This window comes from Homo sapiens, chromosome 2, assembly GCF_000001405.40.
Source record: "Homo sapiens chromosome 2, GRCh38.p14 Primary Assembly".
Classification (NCBI taxonomy): Eukaryota; Metazoa; Chordata; class Mammalia; order Primates; family Hominidae; genus Homo; species Homo sapiens.
Window position 1 is genome coordinate 170,514,038 of NC_000002.12, and position 26,518 is coordinate 170,540,555.

A 26,518-nucleotide genomic window follows, 5' to 3' on the forward strand; every position below is an offset into this window, starting at 1 on the left:
GCCAGGAAAAGAGGAGATGGGGACAGGGTTATTGCCTCGGGGCAGGACCAGAAAAAATCTCCTCCGTGAGGAGGGGCAGTCCTGCTGCCAGTGTAGTTTCTGTCTAAAGTCAGGAGATCCAATGGAAAGAACCTGCCTTCTCCAGATATCTGAGGTAAAAGATGTTGGAACATCTTCAGCCGCTCGTGACCTTGAGGTCATGGAGAACGGAAGAAGAGATGTGACAGCTGGGAAAATCCCTGGTAGAGCCATTATGTTGTGGAATCCAAAAGGAAGTAAGCTGACTGGACAATGAGAAGCTGCAATGTGATATTCCTCAAGTGAATATAGTATGTAGTCCATCTTCTCCCTGACAGCATAATAAAAATCTATGATCAGGGCTGCGAGTTCACAGGAAGGGAGGGGCACTTCCAAGAGGCAGAGATGTGGAGGAGAAAACGGAGCAGCTTCCTGGGAGAGAGCTCACCCTTCTGTTTACTTCCCTGGTAGTGGCAACTGAAAGACAGCAGGAAAGCTATCCAGTGACCAAACCAAGAATCCTAGCCTGGTGCACTCATGACCTGTGTTTGTCACTGAGTTTCCCTATTTGACTAATGTGATCAGTGACACAGTTTCCCCAAATTACCCAATGTCATCCAGCTAGTAGAGAATCTGGCCAGAACAATTATTAATTCTGCTGTTTCCTACTATTGTGCCCTTTCTCAACTACACTGTATTAAATCTTAAAAATAAGCACCAAGTTCATAAGTGAGATTAGTCACCTTGGTGCCTTGAACCGTAAGAAAAGTGTGGATTTTCCTGGCCAACTTGTATCACCCAGTTTGGTAATTCATCTAGGTGTGGGAGCATAACCTTGAGAAAGTCTTTTTGTTTCATTCCACAGGGGACACTTCAAACCAAAGCAGTGGGCCACATTCCCCCGTCGCAGCAGGTACGAGGGGAAGTGCCGAGGTTCAAGACTGCAGCGAGCCTGGTGACCATAAAGGTAGAGTCTTTCGAGATTTAGAATGAGTGTTCTAAATTCAGGGGCATTCCGGAGAAGGTTCCAAAGCTGGAAGTGATCACCTCTTATATAAGAACCTTCTGTCCACCACTCCTTCTTTTTTCTATAGGTGACAGCCAATTAAATTTAAGGCCAACCTTGCAGAGGACTCTGAAGGGTGATTTCATAGAAGGGAATAGAATAGATGGGGATAAGCTCCGTTCCTCACAGTTGCCCCTCCACCTCCTTCCATGTTCCCTGGAACACTGGTCTAGTTGCAGCTCTCCTTACCAATGGCTTCGCCTTAACCTGTCCTCTTGAGGCAGACTCTGACATGTTTGTATCAGATTTACCTTAAGACTGAGGAAAGTTTAGTGTCTTGGGAAGATCTTTCTATGATCCAGAACCTGGTATATAGATCTCAGACTGATTGAGAACATTCATGGAAGGAAGGGGTACTGTGGACAAGAAGTGGAAACGTGGGTTTCTGGTTCTCAGTCCTCCACCAGTTAATATCCCTAAGCTCCAGTCACGGTAACATGAGACAATTGGACTAAATCATGGTTTTCAAACATTTTTAAAATATTGCAGTCTCACCCTTTTGAATTTTGAAGGTCCCTGGACTTCTGCTTGAGAGGCTATGATTTTTGAAGTATGGTCTTTAATGCCAGCACCTGCATTTGATGGCAAGTGAAGATTTTGTGGTAGAATTTACAGTTACAGTTTATCTGCCAGCCCCAGCGCCACTGCCCAGTGTGTAGGCAGAGAGTCTCTGGGTACCTCAGACTCCTTTAGTATCTCTCACTCAGTCTGTTTCAAGGAAATACTGAACTGGAACTTTACCTTGGGGCAAGGAGGTTAGAAAGTAGGAGAAAAAGAGAAGTAGCAGGATCCAGGAGAACATCAGTGTTTCTTGAACTTGAGGAGACTTGGGGATGGAGACAATGAGAAAGTTTTCATTTTCAAAAGAAGGGTGTCTGGCTATTACTGACTGAGGGTGCAGATCACTGTTTCCCCCTAGAAGTCACAAATAGGAGATCCTCCAGTATAGGAAGTCACAAATAGGAGATCCTCCAAAGATGTGTTATGCTTGGCCACACACAGTGCTTTTTAAAAAACTTTGAACCTGAATGTCTTTAAGTGGGGTGTGAATTCTCTGGTTCATCACAAATCCCACGATTCCCCATCCTCTTTGCCTGATACTTCACACATTTATATTTCTTCCTACGTGCCCCCAAAGGCATTTGCAACACCTCCTAATGGTGTTCTTGGTGTTTTTTGTTGTTTTTTTTTTCTGACAGGCAGATGCTTTTCCATCTTACTTCAAAATAGTCTGATAGAGATGGGCGCGGTGGCTCACGCCTGTAATCCCAGCACTTTGGGAGGCCGAGATGGGCAGATCACGAGGTCAGGAGATACAGACCATCCTGGCTAACACACAATGAAACCCCATCTCTACTAAAAATACAAAAAATTAGGCGGGCATGGCGGCAGGCACCTGTAGTCCCAGCTGCTTGGGAGGCTGAGGCAGGAGAATGGTGTGAACCCGTGAGGCAGAGCTTGCAGTGAGCCGAGATCGCGCCACTGAACTACAGCCTGGGCAACAGAGCCAGACTCCGTCTCAAAAAAAAAAAAAAAAAATGTGAATGGCTTATAGAGCTCAACCAGATTTTGGAAGGATTTAGTTCCTCTAGAACTCCACTCCAAGTATTGCTTTACTTCATTAAACCAGAAACACATAGGAACCCTCCCTGATGAAAGGTGACCCATCTCTAGCGAAGCTTCTATTGTCACACCTGTACATTCCCCAAGTTCGGCATTTTATGAATATTTCTACTATTTAAGTTCATAATTTTATTTTTCAGCCATGTCACTGGTCTAATTTTTTTTTAACTCAACCTATTCATACACTTAAAATGAGTCACCTTCTCTCTCTTTTTTTTCCTTCATATCTCCATTTCTCCAATGTCCTTGTTCAGCAATTCATTTGCCAGAGAGAAGCCAGGTGATTCCAACTGTCACCAGCTCATACTGAAAACTGTTTGACAATTTCGGATGCTGCCTTGAATTCAGTGGTTTGATAATCTTATTTATCTCTTTAGTTTGACCCAAATCCTTCTCCCTGTTCTTCAGCAAAGCTGGGGGATGGAGGAGCAGATTCCTTCTAAGCTTTATTCAGAATATTCTGTAAGTTTCTGGTTTTATACTTCAAATAACTCTTAAAAATCAATATTTTGATGACTGAAGTGTAAATTAATAAGAAACATGGAATAAGTTTTCCCTTCAATTACATGAACAGAAATTCTATGGAAACCCCAGCAAAGTAGCTGGGGGCATTTGCTGAACCAGGTAAAGATATTGCTTCCTCTCGTTCTGGTCTTGGACATGGCACCTTCATAAGGAGAGTCCCAAACCAAAAGAGATTTTACAGTTTTTTTTTTCTAGATCTCTTTGTGCTATTTTCTTCTTTGGATGGCTATTGCTCCTTATTATTTTTAGTTTTTTAACTGAGGATCTCAAAATAGGTACAGACAAAAGCTTGCAATCTTAGCTTTCCACAAGGGCAATATCATTTGGCCTTTGATCAGTGGTAGCTCTTGGTGCTGCTGATTTGGGCCAGAGAACAAGGTTAAAAATTATTTGTGGTGATTTTTCCTTCTTAACAGGGAAACAGAAAGATACTTGTATCCCTGAAGTGGGTTCCCCTTTTTTGTTTTTATGTCAGTTCTTGCTTTTATGTTGCTTATCACAGCATTGCAAGTGAGTGTGGGCCAAACAGTGATTTAGAATCTCCAAGAGGGGGGAAAACCTGCCTGGTGCTCTAACTAGAGGATTTTATCAACGGAGAAAAGGCAGTGGGGGAAGGGAAGGGAATTAGTTAATGAAATTCTAACAGGTGGTGGCTATTTTTCTTTATTTCTATTTTTTCCTTCTTTCAATATTGTTGTTTCACTGTTTGGCCATAATGTTTGTGTGTGTGTGTGTGTGTGTGTGTAATAATAAAAATTGTATTAATGTCTCACTTAAATTTTTCTCTTTTGGTGTTTGTAGCAATAATAACAACAACAACAAATCTTTCTATCCATTACCTTAGCTCAAAGAATTGCATTTATTCCACACAAGAAATATTTATGCTGAGGAACCAAACTGACAATTTAAAATCAGCACATGTTCTTCCCAGAACAGACAACACAAAAAAAACTGATTTCTATACTTTTTATTTATTTTTCTACACTCCATTTCTATCATGTATTCTGTAATCATAATGTCAACCATTTATGCATCTTCCACAGTAAGTCACAATTCCCAAATTTATAGATTATCTTTGTTGGTTACTTTTCAGTTTGGATGGTTCTAGGTTATCTAAAATAAGGATGGCAAATAGGTGTGCAGTCTCCTTCCAACCCTAACTGATGGGTAGTGACTACTTGGAACAGTGGTTCTCAGCCCTGGCCACATATTAAAATTGTCTAGGGAGCTTTTAATAATTGATGGCAGTTCCCATCCCAGATCAATATCAGAATGTCTAGGGGCTGGTCCTAGGCATGTTTAAAATCTTCCTGGGTGTTTCTAATGTACAGCCAGGAGTAAGACTCACTGATCTGGAAGCAGTGTCTCTCAAAATTTAACATGGATCAAGGTCACCTGGACAGCTTGATAAAAACACAGATTGCCAGACCCTACCTGCAGAGTCTCTGATTCACTAAGTCCGAAGTTGGGCCCAAGAATGTTCATTTCTAGTAAGTTTCCAGGTGATGTTGATGCTACTTGTTGGGCCACACTTTGACAACCACTGATGTGAAGTGTTAAGAAGGAACTTCAGGTTGAATTAAAGTTCAGTGGAAAAGAAGGCCGTGATTGATTAGCCATGGTCACTGGAAGAAAGAATTGTATTTGTTACCCTCATTGTTGAGAAACTCATCAATAAACTGTCCTCAATCAAAATGTGGAAATAGGTTACTCCTGGAATTATTCCCTGTTTACAGTTAATCCTAGCCACATCATCACATTTTGCTCCTTGCCCTATCCACATCAGCAAGCAGCCTAGCCAGAACTAGAAGCTGATCTGCTGTCTCTGTCTAGCACAGTGTTGTTCCAGCTGTTGTATACTGCTTCTACCGGGACCCAAATCACTTGGGGCCTCTAATCTGTGCACTCTTTATATCTATTGCCAGAGAGAGGTAGCTTGTTTTCCTATAAGCATGAAAACAGTTTGCTGACTGAGACCAAGCATGGAACAAGACCTGGAATCGAGAACAGCTCAATTTTAATGACATATCCTAGAAAAAAAACCTATAGAAAGTCACGGAGTGGTATGAGGGCAGGGAGAGAAGGGCTGCAGAGAGTGTAGATGGGCACCAAAAGCTAACCCTACCTACTTCTGAACATATGCTTAGCCCTCCTTTCTTTTCTCTCAGTTCTCAGGGGCTCTGTACATCGTAGGAGCCATTCACAAGCAGAATCCAACAATGGCCGTACACAGACTTCAAGCAACTCTCCTGCTGTCACAGAGAAAAATGGGTGAGCATTATCTGCTAAGAGTTCCCTGTTGTAAACTCAGGTGCTCCATTCTAATGGATAATGAAATGGTAATGGATAATGCAACAAGTATTTCTACCACTATGGTATTTTGGTGAACTGGAGAGAGTGGAACCAAAAAGCGTTTCCAGGGCTGGGCGTGGTGGCTCATGCCTGTAATCCCAGCACTTTGTGGGGGCCGAGGTGGGTGGATCACCTGAGGTCAGGAGTTTGAGACTAGCCTGGCCCACATGGCAAAACCCCGCCTCTACTAAAAATACAAAAATGAGCTGGCCATGGTGGCATGTGCCTGTAATCCCAGCTACTCAGGAGGCTGAGGCAGGAGAATCACTTGAACCATGGAGGTGGAGGTTGCAGTGAGCCAAGATTGTGCCACTGCACTTCAGCCTGGGCAACACAGCAAGACTCTGTCTCAAAAAAAAAAAAAAAAAAAAAAAGTGTTTCCATCAGATTCTCCCAAGTCTTTATTCTACAGAGCAACGTGAACACAACCCTACTTTTTGGGTTCTCTTCATGGTTAAATCTATACTTAGCGTCATCAGGTTAAACATCCTCCCCCTGGATATTTAGCAATGTCTGAAGACATTTTTGTTTGTCACAACTTTGGAGGGAAGAGTTGTGCAGTTGGCATCTAATGGGCAGAAGCCTGTGATGCTGCTAAACCTCCTGCAATGTAGGACAAAGCCTCCCCGCAGCAAAGAATTGTCCAGCCTCAGATGTCAGTAGTCCCACAGTTGAGAAACCTACAGCCAGGCATGGTGGTATGTGCCTGGAGACCCAGGTAATTGGGAGGCTGAGGTGGGAGTATCACTTTAGCCCAGGAATTTGAGTCCAGCCTAGGAAATATAGTTAGACCCTGTCTCCATATTAAAATATGTATATATATACACATATATATATACACACACATATATATACACATATATATATACACACATATATACACACACACACATATATATATAATCTCATTTGGGGGAGATATATATATTATCTCATTTGAGTAGAAAAATGATGAGCTTCTAGAAAAACCCTAGATTTAAGCTAAAGCAAAAAGGGAGTATCATTTCCTGTTTAGCCACAGGTTTGAGTTAAATATAATTCAAAAGGAGTATAGCAGAGCTTGCCTTTCAGTGACCTCTGAGCTGCTCAAGCTGCAGGGCCCGATACCCTGGCTAAATGTAGGCTCAAGACACTTTAAGTCCAGCCAGGCCAGGCATGACACCAAGAGCTAAAGACACAAACAGCTCCTAGGCCTGTTCTTCACGGAAGCCTTTATAATGTGCCTTCTCTCAGATAAGGTTTCCAGAACCCATCATGTATGTCACCAGGAGGAGGACACAGCTACAGGAAGGAGTGGACCATGGCAAAGGGAAGGCCTAATAGAATGAAACTCACCTTTCTTATTTTCTTCCACATTGATTATGGGGAACTTCCTTAAAAGTTTTAGTCAAAGATTTCAAGAAAGAAGCAGGTCATTAGAGAGTTCTTTGCATCTTTTCACCTGGAAAAGAGAAAGTCTTAATTTACAATTTTAAACAAAATTTTAATTATTTTTTATTATTTTATTTTGTGAGATCGCTTAAGATTTTTGAGACTTGATAAATTAAATTCTTAATACTCCCCCAGTGGTCTCAAATTGTCATTGGGCTTCTTTTAAAGTAAAGTACTTTAGACTACTTGCTTAAAAAGTCAGAATAGCTCATTTAAGGGCACTTTAGGAAAAGACCTAATATCTCATATTAGAATAACAAAGTTTACAATTTCTAATGTGGTAGAAAGATCACTGAGCTTGGTTGGAAGACTTGGTTTCTGATCCCAGCTAACATTTTCCAACTGTTTGACCTTGGGCAAGTCAGTGAACCAGTTTGGAAAACAACTTCAGCCCCAGTCTGACTTCCTCAATCTCAACTGAGGTCTGACTTTACTGAGAACACCAGGACAGTGCTCTGAGCTCTTCCACCGCCCTTCTCTTCACCTTAGAATCTCTCCTTATCTTCGGCTGTCCTTCCTTCCTTTGCTCCCATCTCACAGACCCCAGATCCTCTGCCTTGTGCAGTGTTCCTGCCATCCAGGCCCTACCACTATCAGGTAGCACCTCCCCTGCTTTCCCATCTTTTACACTCTGCTATCACTTTCCATTTTGCTTATACCTCCCCCCATACTAAAAAAAAGCCTGCCCTTGGCCTGTCCTTCCTTCTTTTTGCTTTTACCACCAGACTTCCTCCAACTGCTGTCCAGGTCCACTGCCTCATTTCCTCACTAAACCAACCCCTTTCTCCCTAATCCTGAAATCTGATTTGTGTCCCTACAATGTCCCTAAAACTATTCTTGGGAAGCACAGCTCCCAGTTGCTAGAGCTTTATGTTCATCAGACTCTGCAGCATTTAGTTCCATGGGCCATGCGTGCTTTCCTTGAAGAGCCCTCTTCCAAGGGTATCTGTAGTATTGCCTTCTTCAGGTGCTTGCTCAGAGGTATTCTCAGTCTTTGTTTTCTCTGGTTCCATTCTTCTTCTCTTCCGCTTACCATTAAAATAAAGGCAATTCTCCAAGTCTTAGATTCTCTCCTTTCTCTCCTTCTCACCCTGGATGATACCATCTCTCACCAGTGTGTTCTGGTATCAAGTCTCTGCTAGGTGAGCACGAGTCGCAAGTCTCTGTTCTGAGCTCCACACTCCTACACCCAACTCACAGTGGACATATATTCCTGATTCACACACCAAGACTTCAACAGAAAAGCCCCTCCTAAAGCACCTCCTCCACTCACCCTTCCCACTTCTATGATTGACATAAACACTGTCTTGTGACCTGGCCTTCAAACCTGGCACAGTCACTCTTGACCCCTACCTCTCACTTAATCTCACTTCCAGTCATTTTCCAAATACTCTTTCCTGGTCCAGGACTGCCATTATCTCTTTTTCTTTCTCCTTCTGTCTTTACAGTCCAGCTTTCATTTCTCACACCTGATCAATTGTCTTACAACATATTCTGACTTGTTCAAAGAACTTTAATGGCTTCCTATTTTAGACCAAAAAAGGTTCCGACTTCTCAGGCTGCTGTTCCACGCCTCTCTCTAGCTCACTTCAGTTTGTCCTCCAGGCTCACCTCCACCTTGTCCCTAATACACCTTATGGCTAACCAGAATCAGACTTCTTATTGTTCTACCGGTGCACCTTCCTCTCTTCTCTCTGCCCATTCCTTTCTGTTCAGCTCTTACCTTTTGGTCAAGACACATTATCATATCCCTTTCCTCCATGAAGACCTAATTCTTTTTAATACTCCTTGAGCTGTAGCCCTTTTGTAACAGTACTACTCAAAGTGCTTTTTCACAACAGGATAATGAATTTGTGCCCAAATGTAAATCAACTCACTGCTTTCTTCATTAAGAAACTCTTGTTACTAAAAAAAATCAGCTGAACTAAACAATGTACTTGGTGATGAATTGATTTACATTCTGGCACTAGCCCCTTATGTCATTGTGAGTAGTAACAGTTCACAGACTGGGTCCTCACACCACACTTTGGTGTTTCAATCTCTCTGGTGCTCTTCATATTTTGCCTGGTGTTATGGTTGACCTTGTGCTAGCAAGTTAGCTTCTCAACAGTGAGGACTGAGTCTTACTCTTTCTTGTATCCGATATACACAATAGCTACTCAATAAGTTTATTGAGCTAACTTTCAAAGCCACTTCTCAGCACTCAGATTTTTATGAGGGAAGTGTTTTTCTTGTCAGTCTTTGGGTAGTGGCAACAATAAGAGGATCCCGAATAACTTACCAAACAGTGGGCCAGGGTATCCCTGATCCAGGGACTGGGATTCTGTTGTCCCCCTTATGTTTGTCAACTCAGTGTTCTGTGAATCAACAAGGGCTGATAGGAAGGAGTTTTTGGGCAGAGGGTGGGGTGGGAGTAGGGAGGGGTTTGGGGTGGGCAGAGTAAGAAGAGAGCTGGATTGTGTCACTGGTGATGTTCTCATTGGAAGTAACAAACATTCAACCCATAGATTCAAGGATCCCTCGAGACAAAAGGTCCAAAGACAGAAGTTCCAGGGCTCGGTCAGCCATTCAGGAATGTCAGCAAAGACACAGGCCCCTTGCATCTCTTTGCTTTGCTGTTCTCAGCATGTCAGTCATGCCCCCACTTATGGCCACGAGGTGGCCAAAGCAACACTAAACATCACTTCTTTACATGCCAATGTCTGGAGCAGGAAGACAGAAGCGGATGGAAAGGGGCTTCTTCTCAGGAGTCTCTCTCCATTTGCTAGGAGGGAAATCTTTCCCAGAAGTCACCCAGGAGACTTTTCTTGCATATGATTGGCCAGAATTTGCAGTGGTGGTTCTGCAGGAGAGCTGCAAAGGAGGTTGAGAGATTAGGCAAAGAAGAAAGGAAGAGGGAAGCAACCAACAAGGTCTGCCTCAAGAGTCCTGGAGAGACAGTGATGGGAGCAGATAGGTACCAGGAAAAGATGAAGGGAAGGCAAAATCAGAGGGAAGAGTTCATAAGGACGATCCGTATATGTCAAGAAATATTGCTGCAAATAAGAACTGAAGGGAAGTGTTGAGATCATTCAGATTGATTGTTAGCATTTATTGCTATGCCAGTTTTTTTTCCCCCCACATTTTATCTCATGTAATTCTCACACCAGCCTTCTGGGTTGGTGTTACTCACTCTATGTTACAGATAAACTGAACCTGGGGAAAGCTAAGGCAAATAGCTCATAAACATTATCTCAGAGACCAGTGCTGGATTGGTTTCAGATCTACCTACACCTGCCCCCCATCAGCTAGTCGAGGAATCACTGGGTTATGCAGGGTCACACAGAATAAATGGTGGGTCTGGGCTTTGAATTCAGATCTTCTGTCTCCAACAATAATAACAACTGCTAGCATTTGGTTCATTAGCAATTTCCTGGGCACTGTGCTAAGTGGTTTTGTTTTTGTTTTTTGAGATGGAGTTTCACTCTGTTGCTCAGGCTGGAGTGCAATAGCATGATCTCAGCTGACTGCAACCTCCGCCCTCTGGGTTCAAGTGATTCTCCTGCCTCAGCCTCCCGAGTAGCTGGGATTACAGGTGCGTGCCATAACACCTGGCTAATTTTTGTGTTTTTAGTGGAGATGGGGTTTTACCATGTTGGTCAGGCTGATCTCGAACTCCTGACGTTCTAGCGATTCGTCCCCCTCAGGCTCCCAAAGTGCTGGGATTATAGGCATGAGCCACCGTGCCTGGCCTGTGCTGAGGGTTTTACACGCATTATCCTGTTCAACCTTATGGGAAAGGTATAGATTTTACAATCTCTGACATTGAGAGATCACAAGTAACTTGCCAATGTTACTTAATCAGTAAAGTGACAGAATCAGGATTTGAACATGGGCCTTCTGACCACAGCACTCATTTTTTAACTGGTACATTCTACTGCCTCTCAAGGCTCCAGGTCTCAGATAATTAGTCCAAGGCTTTTTCTCTCTACCCACGTTGTCTCTATACCTGTCATTGTTTAAATCTTAAATCACCACCCACTGAGAAATACACCCTACTTGTTATAACTGTCACCCTGTGATTGATGAAGAAAATTCCAGCACCCAGTTCTTGGGAGAAAGCCTAAAGCCTCATGGGAAAGGTGCTCCCATCTGTGCATGATGGGACAGAGTTAACTTGGCTGGAGAGAAGGAAACCTCAAGTTGAAAGTAAAAGTGAGTGGTTGGGTTGATGCTTCTCTGCTTCACTTCCTATGTGAGCCTGTAACTGTGTACAGTGAATGCCAAAATGGAAATAGTCTTTTATGTTGTGGGGCTTTGTTCCCATGATGGTAATCCCCCATTTTAATGCTGATAAATACAATGGTGAGGATTATGCCCCTTAATTTAATTTGGCCTGCATATGGCAAAGCTCTCACAAGGCTTTTATGTGACATTCTTTAGCACAGCTAGCCTGTTTTTGTGTAAAAGGAACTCATATGAAGAGGCAGGAGATTGATAATGCTGGTGCAAATGTTTTCACAAGACGGCTTGTAACACACCCCCAGTGAAGCTGCTTCGTTATGGGCCCTTCAATGAGGATTCAGATTCAGAGTGATGGGAACCTCCGTGACTCAGGCAGCTCAAGGAGAACTGGCACCTCACAAGGGGAAAACAAGTGCATATTTCTCCTGTGTGTCATCCTTGCAGCTCTGGGGCTTGGAGCCAATTGGGCTGACCTCAGAATTGATGAGCCAGAGAAACAGCCTCCCAGTCAGCAGGGCCGACTGTGGGCCAGATTTTCATGTGGGCTGTGAAGTACAGATTGTCACATATCTTGACGAACATTGTGTGTGAGGGGTCACGGCAGAAATACATGGCAGTTCTAAGACTGTTGAACAGAACAAATCCTCCAGCAAATTTCCTACCAGTGTGGTCAAGTTAGTGCACTAACACGTTAGAGGACCCCACATGAAACCAGAGGGAAAATGGCAGCATGATGTGGGAGTGGTGGTAGGAATAGTAGCCTTCTCTGATCAAGTGCTTAAGATGTGGTAAACACTGTATGTATTGTCTCATTTGGGTAGAAAAATGATGAGCTTTGGTGACAGACCTGGGTTTGAATCCTAGTTGAATTACTTACGAGCTATGAGACATTGGACAAGTTCCTTCCTCTCTCTGAACCTCAGTATCCTAGACTGCAAAAAGGGAATAATTGGGAGGACTGGAGATAATCAAAGCAAAGGAACTAGCACAGTTCTAGACATGTAATGAATACTCAATAAGAGATTATGGCAAGCTGTTGTGGGTCATGGTGATAGAAGTAGCAGCAATAATAGTAGTAATATTAGTATGGAAAAGTTTTCTGTAAAGTTAAACTCATATGAAGGATCAAGACTTTGACTTAGCTCTAGAATTGTAGACTAAAATAAGCATTGAGGTTTCCATCACCTTAGAAACTTTGAACAATGCTCACTCTCTGCTTTAACTTTAGAGACAAATTTTATTTTCTTGTATTCCTGGCTCCTATCTCAGGAATGAATCTGAGATTGACTTTGGGTTCAGGAGTCACCCTTACCAACATTGCCAGCATGACATTATCATACCCTCAAATAATAACATTCAGAGCTTAGTTGATTGCTAGAGCTTTCTTAGACTTTCTAGATTTTTAAAATATTAATTGGTCACGTGTATTTTCAAAACCTTTTTGAAGGCAGAAACCTTATCACCAGCTGAAAGAAGCTTCAAGGAGAAATCTGTTTTGAGTTATATTTTTCCTTGGGGACTTGCTTATGGCCGTACATAAATATTTATCTGAACTATTTCAACAAACCCTAAATCATCAGTGATCCTTATGCAAAGAGTCCTTTTAGAAGATTTCTGTATGTCAAGAATGCCAACAGTCTCTTTCTAAGAACAGATTCCAAGGACCAGAGGCCTCTTTTAAAATAGTTGGAACTCTTTGGTGGTTTTCAACATGTCTTTTGTTTTCATATTCTGTATATCTGTTCACGCTATTCCATCTGAATAGAATTCCCTTGCCAGTCCTGTCTTTACCTGCTGATGTTTTACTCATCCTTCAAGGTCTCATTCGTGTGACATACAGACAAGGGCAAGAGAAGAGCATCCCAGGCAGGAGAAACAAGAGTGGGCCATAGCCAGAGGCAGGATATGCAGAGCCATTCTTGGAAGGTGAGAGGTCCAGTGAGAAGAAGGCAGAGGGTAGGATGGGGGTGGTATGAGGCAGGAAGAACTATTACAGGGAATAAGGCACCAAGATATGGGAGGTCTTCAAAAGTACACAAAATGTTTTGTTGTTCTATAGGTCAAAAGATGTAAACCCATAGTGTTTGGGTAGAATATAGTCTACAGACATGTTTTGTTTGGCCTGAATGTTGTTAAATTTTTAAAATTAGATTCTAACACATAAAAATAGATTTCATGTCATTCGGACTTCTGATAGCTCTTAAAAAACCTGAGTATCTGGCAGCAAACTGCTGGAAGTGAGCAGGAGCTATCTTTCACAGATCCCTACTTAACCGCCTGCCTAATTCATGGCTTGGCCTGCCAGCATCCGAGTTTGATTCTCTCCCGCTGTCTGCAGAGCACCATCTAGGTAGAGGAAACGATTCAGCTACAGACCCTGGAGCCAAACTGCCTCTGTTCTGGCCCAGGTTTGTGTCCAACTACCTCAATGACCTTGGGCAAGTGTGTTTCTAATAATGGTACTTACCTCATGCCGCCATTGTGAGAATAAACCATAGGAAACGTTTAGATGACTACCTAGTACGTAGTTAAGTGGACAAAAATGTTAGCTCTTATTACTGTATCCCACATGAGATAATAAACTTTAGGGCTGAAACTGTCACTCATTTCTGTAGCACTCACAGAATCCAGAATTTAGAATCTTTGGCCATAACTGGCATAAAATGAAATAATTGATGAATGGACAAATGAATATGTGCTCCTTGAGTTTTTATTTCTGTGAGGTCCAAAGCTAAATTTAATTACTTTGTTCTCTAGAAATGCTTCCTATTTACCTTGAGTTTGATTTGAGCATCCTAGTTAGTTGATAAAGGAGCTAGCTTTCTCAAAAAGTCGAAAATCCTAATTAAACAAGTGAAGGGAGATTCTATTAACACCATGTCATTTTTCTGTGATGCATCTACCTTCCTAACTCAAAAATAAGCTCCAAGTTTGGGAAGATGTTTCTGTGTTTTCTTTAGGAAGCTCACTTATTGGCTGGTAGCTGCCTATGGTTAATATCTCAAATTGAGGGTCAGTTGCTAGGAACTAGGATGTGGTGGACTTCAGCAGATATGATGTTAGAATGCATGTTTGACTTGGGTTTTCTTATATCCCATGCCTGCCATGTGATCCACACTTCAAGGCAAAATTTTATTTTATTTTTTTTGAGATGGAGTTTCGCTCTATCGCCAGACCGGAGTGCAGTGGCGCAATCTCAGCTCACTGCAACCTCTGCCTCCCGGGTTTAACCGATTCTCCTGCCTCAGCCTCCTGACTAGCTGGGACTATAGCTGTGCACCACCATGACCAGCTAATTTTTGTATTTTTGATAGAGACGGAGTTTCACCATGTTGGCCAGGATGGTCTCAATCTCTTGACCTCAAGTGATCCACCTGCCTCAGCTTCCCAAAGTGCTGAGATTGCATGCATGAGAAACTGTGCCCAGCCTCAAGGCAAATATTTTTGTGCCCAATGCATCAGACGACGATGGACGGTTTGGCATGGGAACCAATTTTCAGTTTTTTAACATTTCTTCTATATAGCTGAAGTCACATCATCATCCCCATCAAGGCCTTCAATGTGATCACCTGTGGACATGAACGTTTATGTTTACATTAATCTATCCCTAAACAGACTTGCTGTCAACAATGTTGCTCTACAAAGTTGACTAGCAAGGTTAGGCTCACGTGCTCTCTGGAAAACTTGAACATTTTCAAACCCATTTTAATTTCGTTTGAATAAACTTCATCTAAAACTGAATCATGTACTCAAGATTCCAAAAAATTGCTGTTTAATTTCACCTGATAGCTCTCTTCTTTCTTATAAAAAGTCAATTTTTTAGTATGATATTTTTAGCATGATAATGCCTCTACTTTTTCTAAAGAACTCTCAGTCTCTCACACATGGACACGAAGAGGAGAACAACAGACACTGGAACCTACTTGAGGTTAGAGGTCGGGAGGAGGAGGAGGAGCAGAGAAAATGATTATTGGGTATTAAGCTTAGTACCTGGGTGATGGAATCATCTGTACAACAAACCCCCATGACACAAGTTTACCTATATAACAAACCGGAGCATGTACTCCTGGACCTAAAATAAAAGTTAAAAAAAAAAAAAATTTCAGTCTCCCTTAGACCTCTCCTTTCCTTCCTTCCCTTCTGTCCTCCTTCTCTCCCTCCCTCCCTTCCTTCTTCCTTTTTTTTCTTTCTTCTTGTCTCTCTCCTTATACTATTTATATCTACGTCTCTAAAGTTCTGGTTTCTGATCCAAAAGACAATTTCAAATAATAAGAAAATCTGATCTCTAACCATTTCTCCATCCCTCATCCCCTTCCTGCATTACCCATAGAAATTCAGCACATTGCTGGTACCTACGTTGTATCCTCATCAAGCTCTTTATTATATTCCCGCTCAGAATGAGTTTCTGCCCAAAAGACCTTTACATATTGAGCCTATTTTGAAAAGTTTGAGAAAGGAAAATGGACTCAAGTGGAAAATATTGCAGGAAACAAAATTTTGTAAAAATGAACTTTATATAAGAGTGCTTCATTATCAACACATAATGAAACCTAGATTATAATCCTACATGTTGAAAGAAGATTAACTTTGTACATTTTCACAATTTTATTAACTTCACTTTCTTCACTGGGTTATAAGGAAAACATAATGGTGTTTCAGTTCCAAGTATATTTTGTGAATTAAATAGCAGCTTGTTCCTCACTATAAAAAACAAATATGCCAATATATTTTCCACTAGCATCGCCCTGGTCACCTTAAATTAAGAAGAAACTGGAGTATTTGCCATTAAAAGCTGTTAACAGTAGTAATGCCACAACATCTCCGTGTGCATCTTAGTAACTTCTCAGACTTGTCTCCTTGATGAATAGACAAAACAGGAGGAGGGGTGAATTTGTTCTTTTTATCTGAATGGTGTAGGTGGGGAAGACAGAGAGCAATAGAGAGCTCTCGTGAAACAGAGCTCTAGCGACTGCTGTGCTTGGGAAATTAGATAATAAACAGTCCCTGATACCAAAATTCTAATGGCCTAAGATCAACACAGTCTGGAGACGCAGGTGGGAGTGGCCTTCCTCGCTCTGATCCAGACCCTCCCGGGAGAGCTCTTTGTGTCAACAAGAACAGCCAGTGCTCCTGGCCAGCTCCCAGGACTCAGAGTGGGGCTATCATTTTTGTTTGCTTTGCAAATATCTTAATGGGAAGTGGTTCAACACCACCTATGGGTTAATCTGAGGGGTTCTGCTTGGCAGCTGTTAGCTCTGAGAACCACATGGCCGCTCTCGGGTGCAGGGAGTCAGGCTAGCTGTTAACTACCCAGCGCCAGGTTGAGGCATCGTCTTTGCTTATTGGATTTACTGACTGGCAGGAAGCACCTTGTTGACTTTTATTTTTAGTTTGTTCCTCCTGGGAGAGCAAGGATGTTATTCTCAGATCCAACTGTGCTTTTTTCTCCAAGGGAGGGCAGTTGTTTAAATTATTTTTACTAGCATGAAGCATCCTTTCACCTAAGCTCATTCTCAGAATCTGAAACTTCATATTAAAAGTGGTGGTGTGGTGAAGGTGGAAGGGGCATTGTTGCCAGAAGAAAGATTTAGTATATTAGCCTGCAGGGAGGGCAAACAGTGGAAGCCACAGCCTTGTCTTCACCTGGGATCTAAAGAATTGGATAGATAGTGAATTTCTCTGCTCTACTGTTCCCTTAGTCCTCTCCCCCTCCCTCTCCTCCACCCCAACATGGCTTTCACTTGTCTTATCTTGACCCATAGGAATGTTTCCCTGGGCGACACAACCAAGTCATGCCTTTCTGGATCTGTGTCTGCTGACATTGACACAGATGATCTCTTTCTTTATGCTTTCCTTACAGGATTTCAGGCAGGTAGGATGGTTTCCACAAAGCAGGTTAGGGAAGTACCTGGAGTGATGACAGACATGTAGACAGTTTCCAAATGCCCCATTTGTAAAAATGCAAAAAGTTCAGATTTCTCTGTAGGTCCTGGAAAAAGTGTCTAGCTACCCTCAGGAATAGTGTAACCCAGCTTTTAAAGCCTTATTCTTTCCTGGGGGTTTTCTACACCTACTTGTGGGATTGTCTTGTGGTTGACAACAAGGGCCCTAGAGTCCACTAGACCTGCTACTACAGGGTAAGAACTTCATAAACGCACTTATTTTCTCAAGGCTTCAGTTTCCTCATCTTTAAGTGGAAGATCAAATAGCACAATATCTACCTCACCAAGACATGAAAGTTAAATGAGGTAACATATACAAAGTATGTAGCATCTCATTTGATGCATAAAAAGCACTCACAAATTGTAGTGATTAGAGGAGTTGTTGTTATCTCTGAGGCATCCACTTTAAGTCATCCTTAGTATTATGCATTTTGTACTCATTTTGAAGTCTGTTACTCCCAACCCTTTAAAATCATCCAGTGCCAAACTATGAGTATCAAAGTAAATGATGACAAAAGAGTATAATCCATTGAATAAAATAAGATATCATGAGTCCATGTGGATGGATGGAAGGAAGGAAGGAAGGAAGAGAAGAGGCTGAGCTCTGACTTACAATAAAATATGAAATAATAAAGGTAGATGAAATTAAGAAAACAGAAAATCATCATTTGGCAACTGCAAAAATAATTGTTTCAGGCAATAATTATGAATGGATGCTAACACTACTATGTGAAAGTTTGAGGAGTAATAAACTATTTGCATAGTCTCAGAGTAAGTCCCCATAAGAAACTTATTAATTACAAAAGGACAGTGAAGAAACCTGGCAGAAACCACCTTAACCCAAGTGATGAAAGTTAGCATCACCAGTAATTGAACAAACTGACAGCATGTGCCTCCTGTTATGATGTATTGAGAAGAAGACAACATCACTTTTGTGGATTTCTTGCCAAATGTGCATAACCTGAATTTAATCACGAGGAAACAGCAGACAAGTCCAAATAGAGGGAGCCTTTACAAAATGACCGGCCTGTAGGCTCCAAAATGAAACATGACAGAAGACTGAGAAACTATTCCAGATGAAAGGGAACTAAAAGAACGTTACCTCTGAATGCAATAGATGATCTAGGAATTTATTTTGCTATAGAAGATGCCATTGAGACATTTGGAAAAATCTGAATACAATCTGTAGATTGGAAAATAGTGTCATATTAAATTCTGATTTTGATCATTGTATTCTGGTCATATAAGAAAATGCCCTTCCTTTTTGAAAATACACACACTGAAGTATTTAGGGATAAAAGAGTATCAGGTAGGCTGGGCGCAGTGGCTCATGCCTGTAATCCTAGCACTTTGGGAGGCCAAGGTGGGCGGATCACCTGGGGTCAGGAGTTCGAGACCAGCCTGACCAACATCGTGAAACCCCATCTCTACTAAAACTACAAAAAAAATTAGTCAGGCATGGTGGCAGATGCCTGTAATCCCAGCTACTCGGGAGGCTGAGGCAGGAGAATCACTTGAACCTGGGAGGTGGGGGTTGCGGTGAGCCAAGATTGAGCCATTGCACTCCAGTCTGGGCAACAAGAGTGAAACTCTGTCTCAAAAAAAAAAAAAAAAAAAGAGTATCAGGTTTGTAACTGACTCTCAAATGGTTCAGAAAAAAATTATGCATGTTTGTATGTGTATATATCAATACAGAGACAGAGAGAGGACAAAGCAAATATGTAAGTCTGCTGAGGAATATATAGGATTCCTTATACTATTCTTGCATCTTTTCTATTAATATAATTAAATCAAAATAAAAAGTTGCAATAAACAAGTCAGTGCCACTTCTTGCCCTTTAGACAGGGCAGTTCATCAGCCACTTTCTCTTTAGACTCCTGATCTTTCTCCATTCACACCTAAAAGTCTATTCCACGTCATCATTGCCGTGCTCAGTGATGGTCCTCAAGCTTCTCGGCTGTGACATTGCTGACTAGTCAGCACTCACTGCACACAATCTTGTTTAGGCTTTTCGTTTGTAAAAGTTTCTGAAAATGTCCGTCCCTCCTCTCACGCCCCCTCCCTCACCTGTCCTTGGGCCCCATCATTTAGTGCCATGTGTGTCATGCACTTCATTTTAGCACTTCTTACTTCTCCTTCCCTGGACTAAGTACTACTTTCAGAATTAAAAGAGGAAAACTGGGTTAAATATTATCTTTTGTGGGGGTGGGGGGGGGGTGTGCAGTGGTGAAAAGAACATCCTCCAGTTACAGCATGAAAAGGGTGTAATAAATGGTCTCTGAAGTTTCCTTTTTCTCTACAAGTCTATGCCTTGGCCTAATTCAGTCTTAAACTGCTAGAACTGTAACTCAAAAGTAGCTCAACCCACAAGTTACTTTAAGACTCCAGCCGAAGGAAAAGCACAGATTCTAGAAAGGCAGCCACACAGATACCTCATCATTACTATTCTCCCTTGAAGTTTCCATGTTTACGGATTTGTCTTTCAGATGTGCAAAATCATAAACAATAAGTAACCACATTGTTAAGTATGTGTTTTATTTCTAACTTCTGACTATATATGCATCTTTAATTTAATTATTTTAAAACCTTGTCTTGTGTGTTTATTTTGTTCTGCCCAGGAGAACAAATGCAATCATTTTTTCCTTAGCTCAGGCAAGAGTTTTTATTTATATTTTGCTGATGAAGAAGGGGAGAGGTGATTTGCCCAAGTTAGAGTTGCCATATTTGGCAAATAAAAATGCAAGATACCCACTTAGATTTGAATTTTCTATAAACAACAAATAGTCTTTTTTGCTTAAGTATGTCCCGTTAAGTATTTGAAAATACTTTTACTAAATAATTACAAACATACCTTGTTTTATTCCCTTTTGCTTCATTACACTTCACAGATGTTGTGTTTTTTACGAACTGAAGGTTTGTGCCACCCTGTGTTGAGCAAGTCTGTTTTTGCCATTTCTCTAACAGCATGTGCTTACTTCATGTCTCTATGTCAGAATTTTTTAGCCATATTTTGAAATTAAGGTATGTACATTTTTTAGACATAAGGCTGTTGCACACTTAATAGATAATAGTGTAAAAATTATATGCACTGGGAAGCCAAAAAATGTGTGTGACTCACTTTATTGTGATATTTGCTTTATTGAGGAAGTCTAGAACAAAACCCACAGTATCTCTGAGATATGTTTGTTGTTAGTCTGGAGTTCAAATTCAACTGGGTGTCCTGTTTTTTTGTTTGTTTGTTTGTTGAGACAGGGCCTCACTCTGTCACCCAGGCTGGAGTGCAGTGGAATGATCTTGGCTTACTGTAACCTCAGCCTTCTGGGCTTAAGTGATCCTCCCATTTTAGCCACCGAAGTAGCTGGGACTACAGATGTGCGCCACCACGCCTGACTAAATTTTTTTGTAGAAACAAGGTCTCACTGTGTTGCCCAGGCTGGTCTTGAACTTTTGAGCTTAAGCAGTCCTCTCATCTTGGCCTCCCAAAGTGCTAGGAGTACAGGCATGAGCCACCCACACCCAGCCTCAGTGTCCTGTATTTTATCTAACAACTCTAGTTCAAGTGTTTTAGAACTAATATATCATGAATATGTACGCATATAGCCTGACTGTATTTCATGAAATATATTGCTAAATCTACCAAGTGTTTATAGCATTCCTCTAACCTCTACGTGCCATAACACATAGTGTTTTTTGCCCTTTAAGGACTTTTGAAACCGTATTCAGGGATATCAATTCCTACTTATTTATTAAGGTCTTTATTCAAATGTCACTTTCTGTAGCCACTCAATCTAAAATTGCAGACCCTGCCTCCAATACTTTCTATCCCCCTTCCCTGCTTTAACTTTCCTCTTTGGCACTTACTTGTATTTAATATGCTACATAGTTACTTTTCTGTTTCAATTTGTGTCTGCTACTTGAATGTAGGTTCATGAGCAGAGGACTATTGGATCTCCTCTGCTGTATCCCCAGTACTTACAATAGTAGGAGACAAATTTAAAGGTGCTCGGTAAAGACTTGGGAGCCGAATGACTGATGTCTGGGAGCCTGTAGAAGACCTTATATTGCATGTGTCATACACATTGTTCTTATACAGAATCTCAAGGAGACTTGCACCAGATTAGAGCCTTCAGTGTGGTACGAGTGTGTATAATCTTAGTAATAGTCCATAGACACAAGATAAATAGAAGGTCAGGCCAGGGTTTATACCTCCAGATATCATTGGGCTTCATTTAATCTGCCTCCTAGCAAATTTTCTAGAACTGAATGTTAGTAGCCCCAGGTATCATTCATTAAGATCCTTAATAGAATTGTGTGATTATCTGGAAGAGTCCAGTAACAAAATTATGCTGAGGCTGAGAGCATGGGCTCCGGGTCAACCAGATCAGGATTTGTATCTGGTTATGACCTATGTTACTCAAATAGCCCAAGCTTGGGTTTCCTGGTCTGTGAATTGGGAACACTGGGGGACCTCTGCTGCTAGCACTGTCATGGGATGAAATGGATAGTCTAGCCAAGTCCTCAGCACAGTGCCTGATGGAAAGGAAGCTGCTTCCATCACCGTCACCCAGGCCACACCACAAATTCCACCTGAGCTCACATAAAGCTCAGCTGTTCTAGCCATGCTGTGGCCCTCAGCCCACGGCTCTGTATCCCTTCAGATCACAATACCCTTCTCCACTACTGCGTCTCTTGTTTTATCCCTGAACTTTCTCTCAGCTCCCTTGGTTGCTGACAAATAACTGAAATAAGCTTTATGGGCAGCTGTCAGTTGAGTGTCCTTTTTTCCAATAAAGCAAGCATTCTCAGCAGAATGAAGAAAAGCCTTCTGCTCCTACCTTAGACTTTTACACAGTGACAGCTGCCTGCAGTAAAGTAGTGAAGGAGGGAAAAGAAAACAAATGAGAATGCAAGGACTGGCAAATTAAGACTGTATGGGCTCACGGTTGGGGAAAAGCAATGAGGCAAACAAATATGATCACATTTAAAGGGCTCAGTGGGATTTGAGAAATTAGCATAAGTGCATAAATCTAACTACTGCTAACTTAGAGCAATGGCATTATGAGACAGTCATCAGCCTTTTTGAGCCCTTCTGATGAATTTATCCTTGAGCCATGTTCTAAAACTTAAAATAATTGTGTGCTTTAGAGCAAACAAATATCCATATATTTAGATATAACTTGCATATTCAACTCATTCAGTAATGATTAGGGTGGGATGCAGTGCATGCATTCAGAATTGTTCCAAAAGTTACTGGGTATCCAAACCTGATGAGAAAAAGTAATACAAAAGGTGTGAAGTTTATTCCTTCTTGTTTCCCTTATTTTCCTGCAATAATGGTGATCTTATTGTGTACTGTTACTGTTTCTCCTTTCCTATGCTCTTTGTATTTCCTTCATATCACACATTAAAGCCCAGGAATAATGTTTTTCCTCTTTAGAAATCAAGAAGTACAAATTAAAATAATAGTGAGGCATATTTTGCAAAGAGATAAGCAAAGTATCTCTTCTCTGATGTCATTCCTTAAATATCTTAATTTACCTTTGTAATTTGAATTTACTGAAACCGTTTCTGAAGATGTGTATGTTTTCTATTATCTCTTATGGTAATAACTTCCATAATGAAAGTTATATGACTTGTTTATCTGAAACTTGCCTCCCTCAAGATTCTTGGGGCCCCTACTATTTAAAAGTATGCTGGTCTCGGCTGGGCGTGGTGGCTCACGCCTGTAATCCCAGCACTTTGGGAGTCTGAGGCAGGTGAATCACGAGGTCAGGCATTCAAGACCAGCCTGGCCAACATAGTGAAACCCCATCTCTACTAAAAATACAAAAAATTAGCCGGGCGTGGTGGTGGGCGCTTGTAATCCCAGTTACTTGGGAGGCTGAGGCAGGAGAATCGCTTGAACCTGGAGGGTGGATGTTGCAGTGAGCCGAGATCGTGCCACTGCGCTCCAGCCCGGGTGACAGTGCGAGACTCTGTCTCAAAAAAAAAAAAAAACAAAAAACAAAAAGTATCCTGGTCTCAGGAGGCTGAGATAAGAGGATCACCTGAGCCTGAGAGGTTGAGGCTGCAGTGAGCCATGATCTCACCACTGTACTCCATCCTGGGTGACAGAGTTAGACCCTGTCTCAAAAATAATAATTCTGGTCTGATCATATCGTCTGCAGAGTGGTTTTACTGCTGCTTCTTGGGAACAAGAAATTGACCTTCTCTTATTAAGAGCTCTTTGATTTTTTTTTTTTTTTTTTTTTTTTTTTTTTTTTGGTGGGGAAGCTGGAGTGCAGTGGCACAATCATAGCTCACTGCAGCCTCGACCTCCCTGGGCCCAGATGATCCTCCCACCCCAGCTTCCTGAGTAGCTGGGACTACAAGGGCATGCCACCCTGTCTGGCTAGTTTTTGTATTTTTTGTAGAGACAGGGTTTCCCCATGTTCCCCAGGCTAATCTCTAACTCCTAGATTCAAGGAATCTTCCCACCTCAACCTCCCAAAGTGTTGGGATTACAGGCTTGAGCCACCACGCCCAGCCAAGAGCTCTTTGGTTTTTGTTCAAAGTTATCAAAGAGGTGGAAACAAATTACTTGGCTATGCTGATTGCCTTTCTTTTGGGGCTACCAAATGAGACACAAATTTACTAGGAGAAATACTCCCAAATTTAGAGACAATGGAAAGCTAACAAAAATCAACCAACATTGAATTAGCTATTTTGAAATTAGAGTATGCTTTCAAGCGTGAACGAATAAATGGATATCTCAGTTTCTCTCCAAGCCATTCTAACTTATAATTGATAAAAGATAATCTTGAAAACTTTATCAAAATTAATAAAAAGTACACAAAGAAACAAGTAAAATTTAGAAAATGGAGAATCTGAGGGGAGCCAGTGTGTCTCAACGCCTATCCAAGCAAAAAGGTACTGATTCTAACCCTAAAATAGAAAAAGCCAGTTACTAGGCAAGCTTGACTGATCAGATACATTCTCAAAGAGCACCCTGCTTCTTTTGCTTTAATTCTAATGTGTAATTTAGTCTCCAGAGTGTATCAACCAACTAGAGAGGGGAAAAGTATAGTCCAGATCATACCATTCATTATAAAATCACACTCGCATTGTACATTTCAAATATGACTCTTTTGAGATTGGTTATTGCAACTCAGCTCTCCCCAAAATCATCATCCCTCAATGAACTGACAAATTGAATTTTGGAGCCTGTGAAGCTGAGGCCCAGTCCCTGGACCATGGTGACTTCACCTAGTGCCACCGGCGCAGCGTGACAGAGCCAGCTGGCCTCATGGATCTCTGCTGCAGAAGAAGGGAGATGCTGGGTATTCTCAGCAGCCAGCTACTCAGGAGCCAGCCTTCACCTTGCCCCTCATCCACTCACACTGGGATCCGGATTTAAGAAGAAGGAATTAGATGTGAGTTTTGTCTGGGGGCTTTTTCAGGACAGATGCCCAGCAGAAGGGTTCTCAACGGTGACTGAGAGTTTCCGTCTCCCCTAGAACCCACAGTTCAATGAACTGACTTCAGCGAAGCGGTCGAGCCCTGGAGGCAATCTGTTTGAGACTTTAGTTATGCTTCCAAGACGCCAATGGAGCCCTAGAAATATGTGATGAATTATACAAAGAGGGACAACTACTTTCTATTCACCTTATTTTGATAGCCATATACACTGCTTCTGCCCATTTAGCTTATGATTTCCAGCAGAGGCCGAGGACAGTGTTATTTGTTAAAAAAAATTTCCTGTGGATTCAGAAAACAATATCACACTTCATAAATGAATTAATTCCTTAATATCGTCCCATACCAATTCATAGTCAAAATTTCCCAATTGTTCTAAGAATGTCCTTTGCACATGTTTATCCAGGCCAGGATCCGATCTAGAATGTTACAGTGCATCAAGTTGTTATTTCATCTACATTTCTTTTGATACAGAATAGTCACTTTTTTCAGAATACTGACTTTTTCAGAGGATCGAGCCATAAAATAGGATTATCTCATAAAATAGCTCACCTTCTGTATTTAGCTGCTTGCTTCCTGTGGTCTTATCCAGCTTGTCCCTCTATGCCCTATGCTTTGCGTAGACTGTAAGTTAGATCTAAAGACTTAATCCGATTTAAGTTACATGTTTTTGACCAAAAGGAAAAAATACATCCTGGGTGATATTACATACTTCATGTTGCCTCACATTACAAGACAATGTTGTCGTGGTGTTAGTGGTGTTAAAATTGAGCACCGGATTAAAATACTGACCTTCTGATTTCTCCAGTGTACATTGCCTCTCTTGTGAAATGAAAGAAGGAGGTTAGCCACCTGTATGGTGGTACTTTGGCTCCATATGAATGTCCTCTTCCCTATTAACAGTTTGTCTATGATTTTATCAGCAATTAATAATTCTTTTTATTTATTTATTTTTTTTTTTTTGAGATAGGGTCTCACTCCGGCTGTCCAGGCTGGAGTGCAGTGGTGCGATCTTGGCTCAGTGTAGCCTCGACCTCCAGGGCTCAGGTAATGCTCCCACCTCAGCCTCCTGAGTAGCTGGGACTACGGGTGCACATCACTATGGCCCGGCTAGTTTTTTGTATTTTTAATAGAGACAGGGTTTCACCATGTTGCCCAGGCTAGTCTCCAACTCCTGAACTCAAACATTCCACCTGCCTCAACCTCCCGAAGTGCTAGGATACCAGGTGTGAGCCATCACACCCAGCAACAATTGATAATTTTGGCCTGATAATTTCCCTCTGGCATCACCTTTTCCATAGTCAATATACCATAGTCTTATGGTACACTGCTTACCAGCTGTGGTTTGAAGCAAATCACTGGCTTCTTGATGCTTAATTCCTTTATCTGTAAAAATAGGTTATTTTAGGAAGCAGAGGCAGGAGGATCGCTTGAGGCCAGGAGTTCGAGACCAGCCTGTGCAATATAGTGAGACTTCATCTCTCCAAATAATAAAAAATTAGCCAGGTGTGGTGGTAGCACATGCCTGTAGTCCCACCTACTTCGGAGTCTGCAGCGGGAGGATCACTTGAGCCCAGGAGTTCGAGGCTGCAGTGAGCCATGATCATGTCACTGCACTCTAGCCTGGGCAACAGAGTGCGATTCTATCTCAAAAAAAAAAGAACCAATCCACATGGCTGTCAGCAGTATGTAACATGCTTTGCCTGGTGCCTGGTGGTATGTATCCATGCAATAAGCATTGGCTTTTTTTTCTTTCTTTTTAAAAAATATTTTAAAAATTCAATTAAATAGAGACAGGGTCTTGCTATATTGCCCAAGCTAATCTTGAACTCCTGGGCTCAAGCAGTTCTCCCACCTCCACCTCCCCAGTAGCTGGGATTGT

The 26,518-nt window shown here is 41.7% G+C and overlaps 1 protein-coding gene across 11 annotated transcripts in view; it reads left to right on the forward strand.

Moving 5' to 3' along the window:
- MYO3B (myosin IIIB) overlaps positions 1 to 26,518 on the forward strand; it is a 477,021-nt gene that overhangs the window by 335,891 nt on the left and 114,612 nt on the right. For 6 of the 11 annotated variants that reach the window (NR_045683.2, NR_045684.2, NM_138995.5 and 3 more), the window contains 2 exons: positions 884 to 985; positions 5,401 to 5,503. Coding sequence is in view for 8 of the 11 variants with exons in the window: in NM_138995.5 (NP_620482.3) it covers positions 884 to 985; positions 5,401 to 5,503 (205 nt within the window). In the remaining 3 variants the exon portion in view is untranslated. Of the gene's footprint in view, positions 1 to 883; positions 986 to 5,400; positions 5,504 to 10,467; positions 10,590 to 13,057; positions 13,166 to 26,518 lie in introns of all 11 variants that reach the window. The other 5 variants (XM_011510654.4, XM_011510657.4, XM_011510656.4 and 2 more) reach the window with 2 other exon arrangements.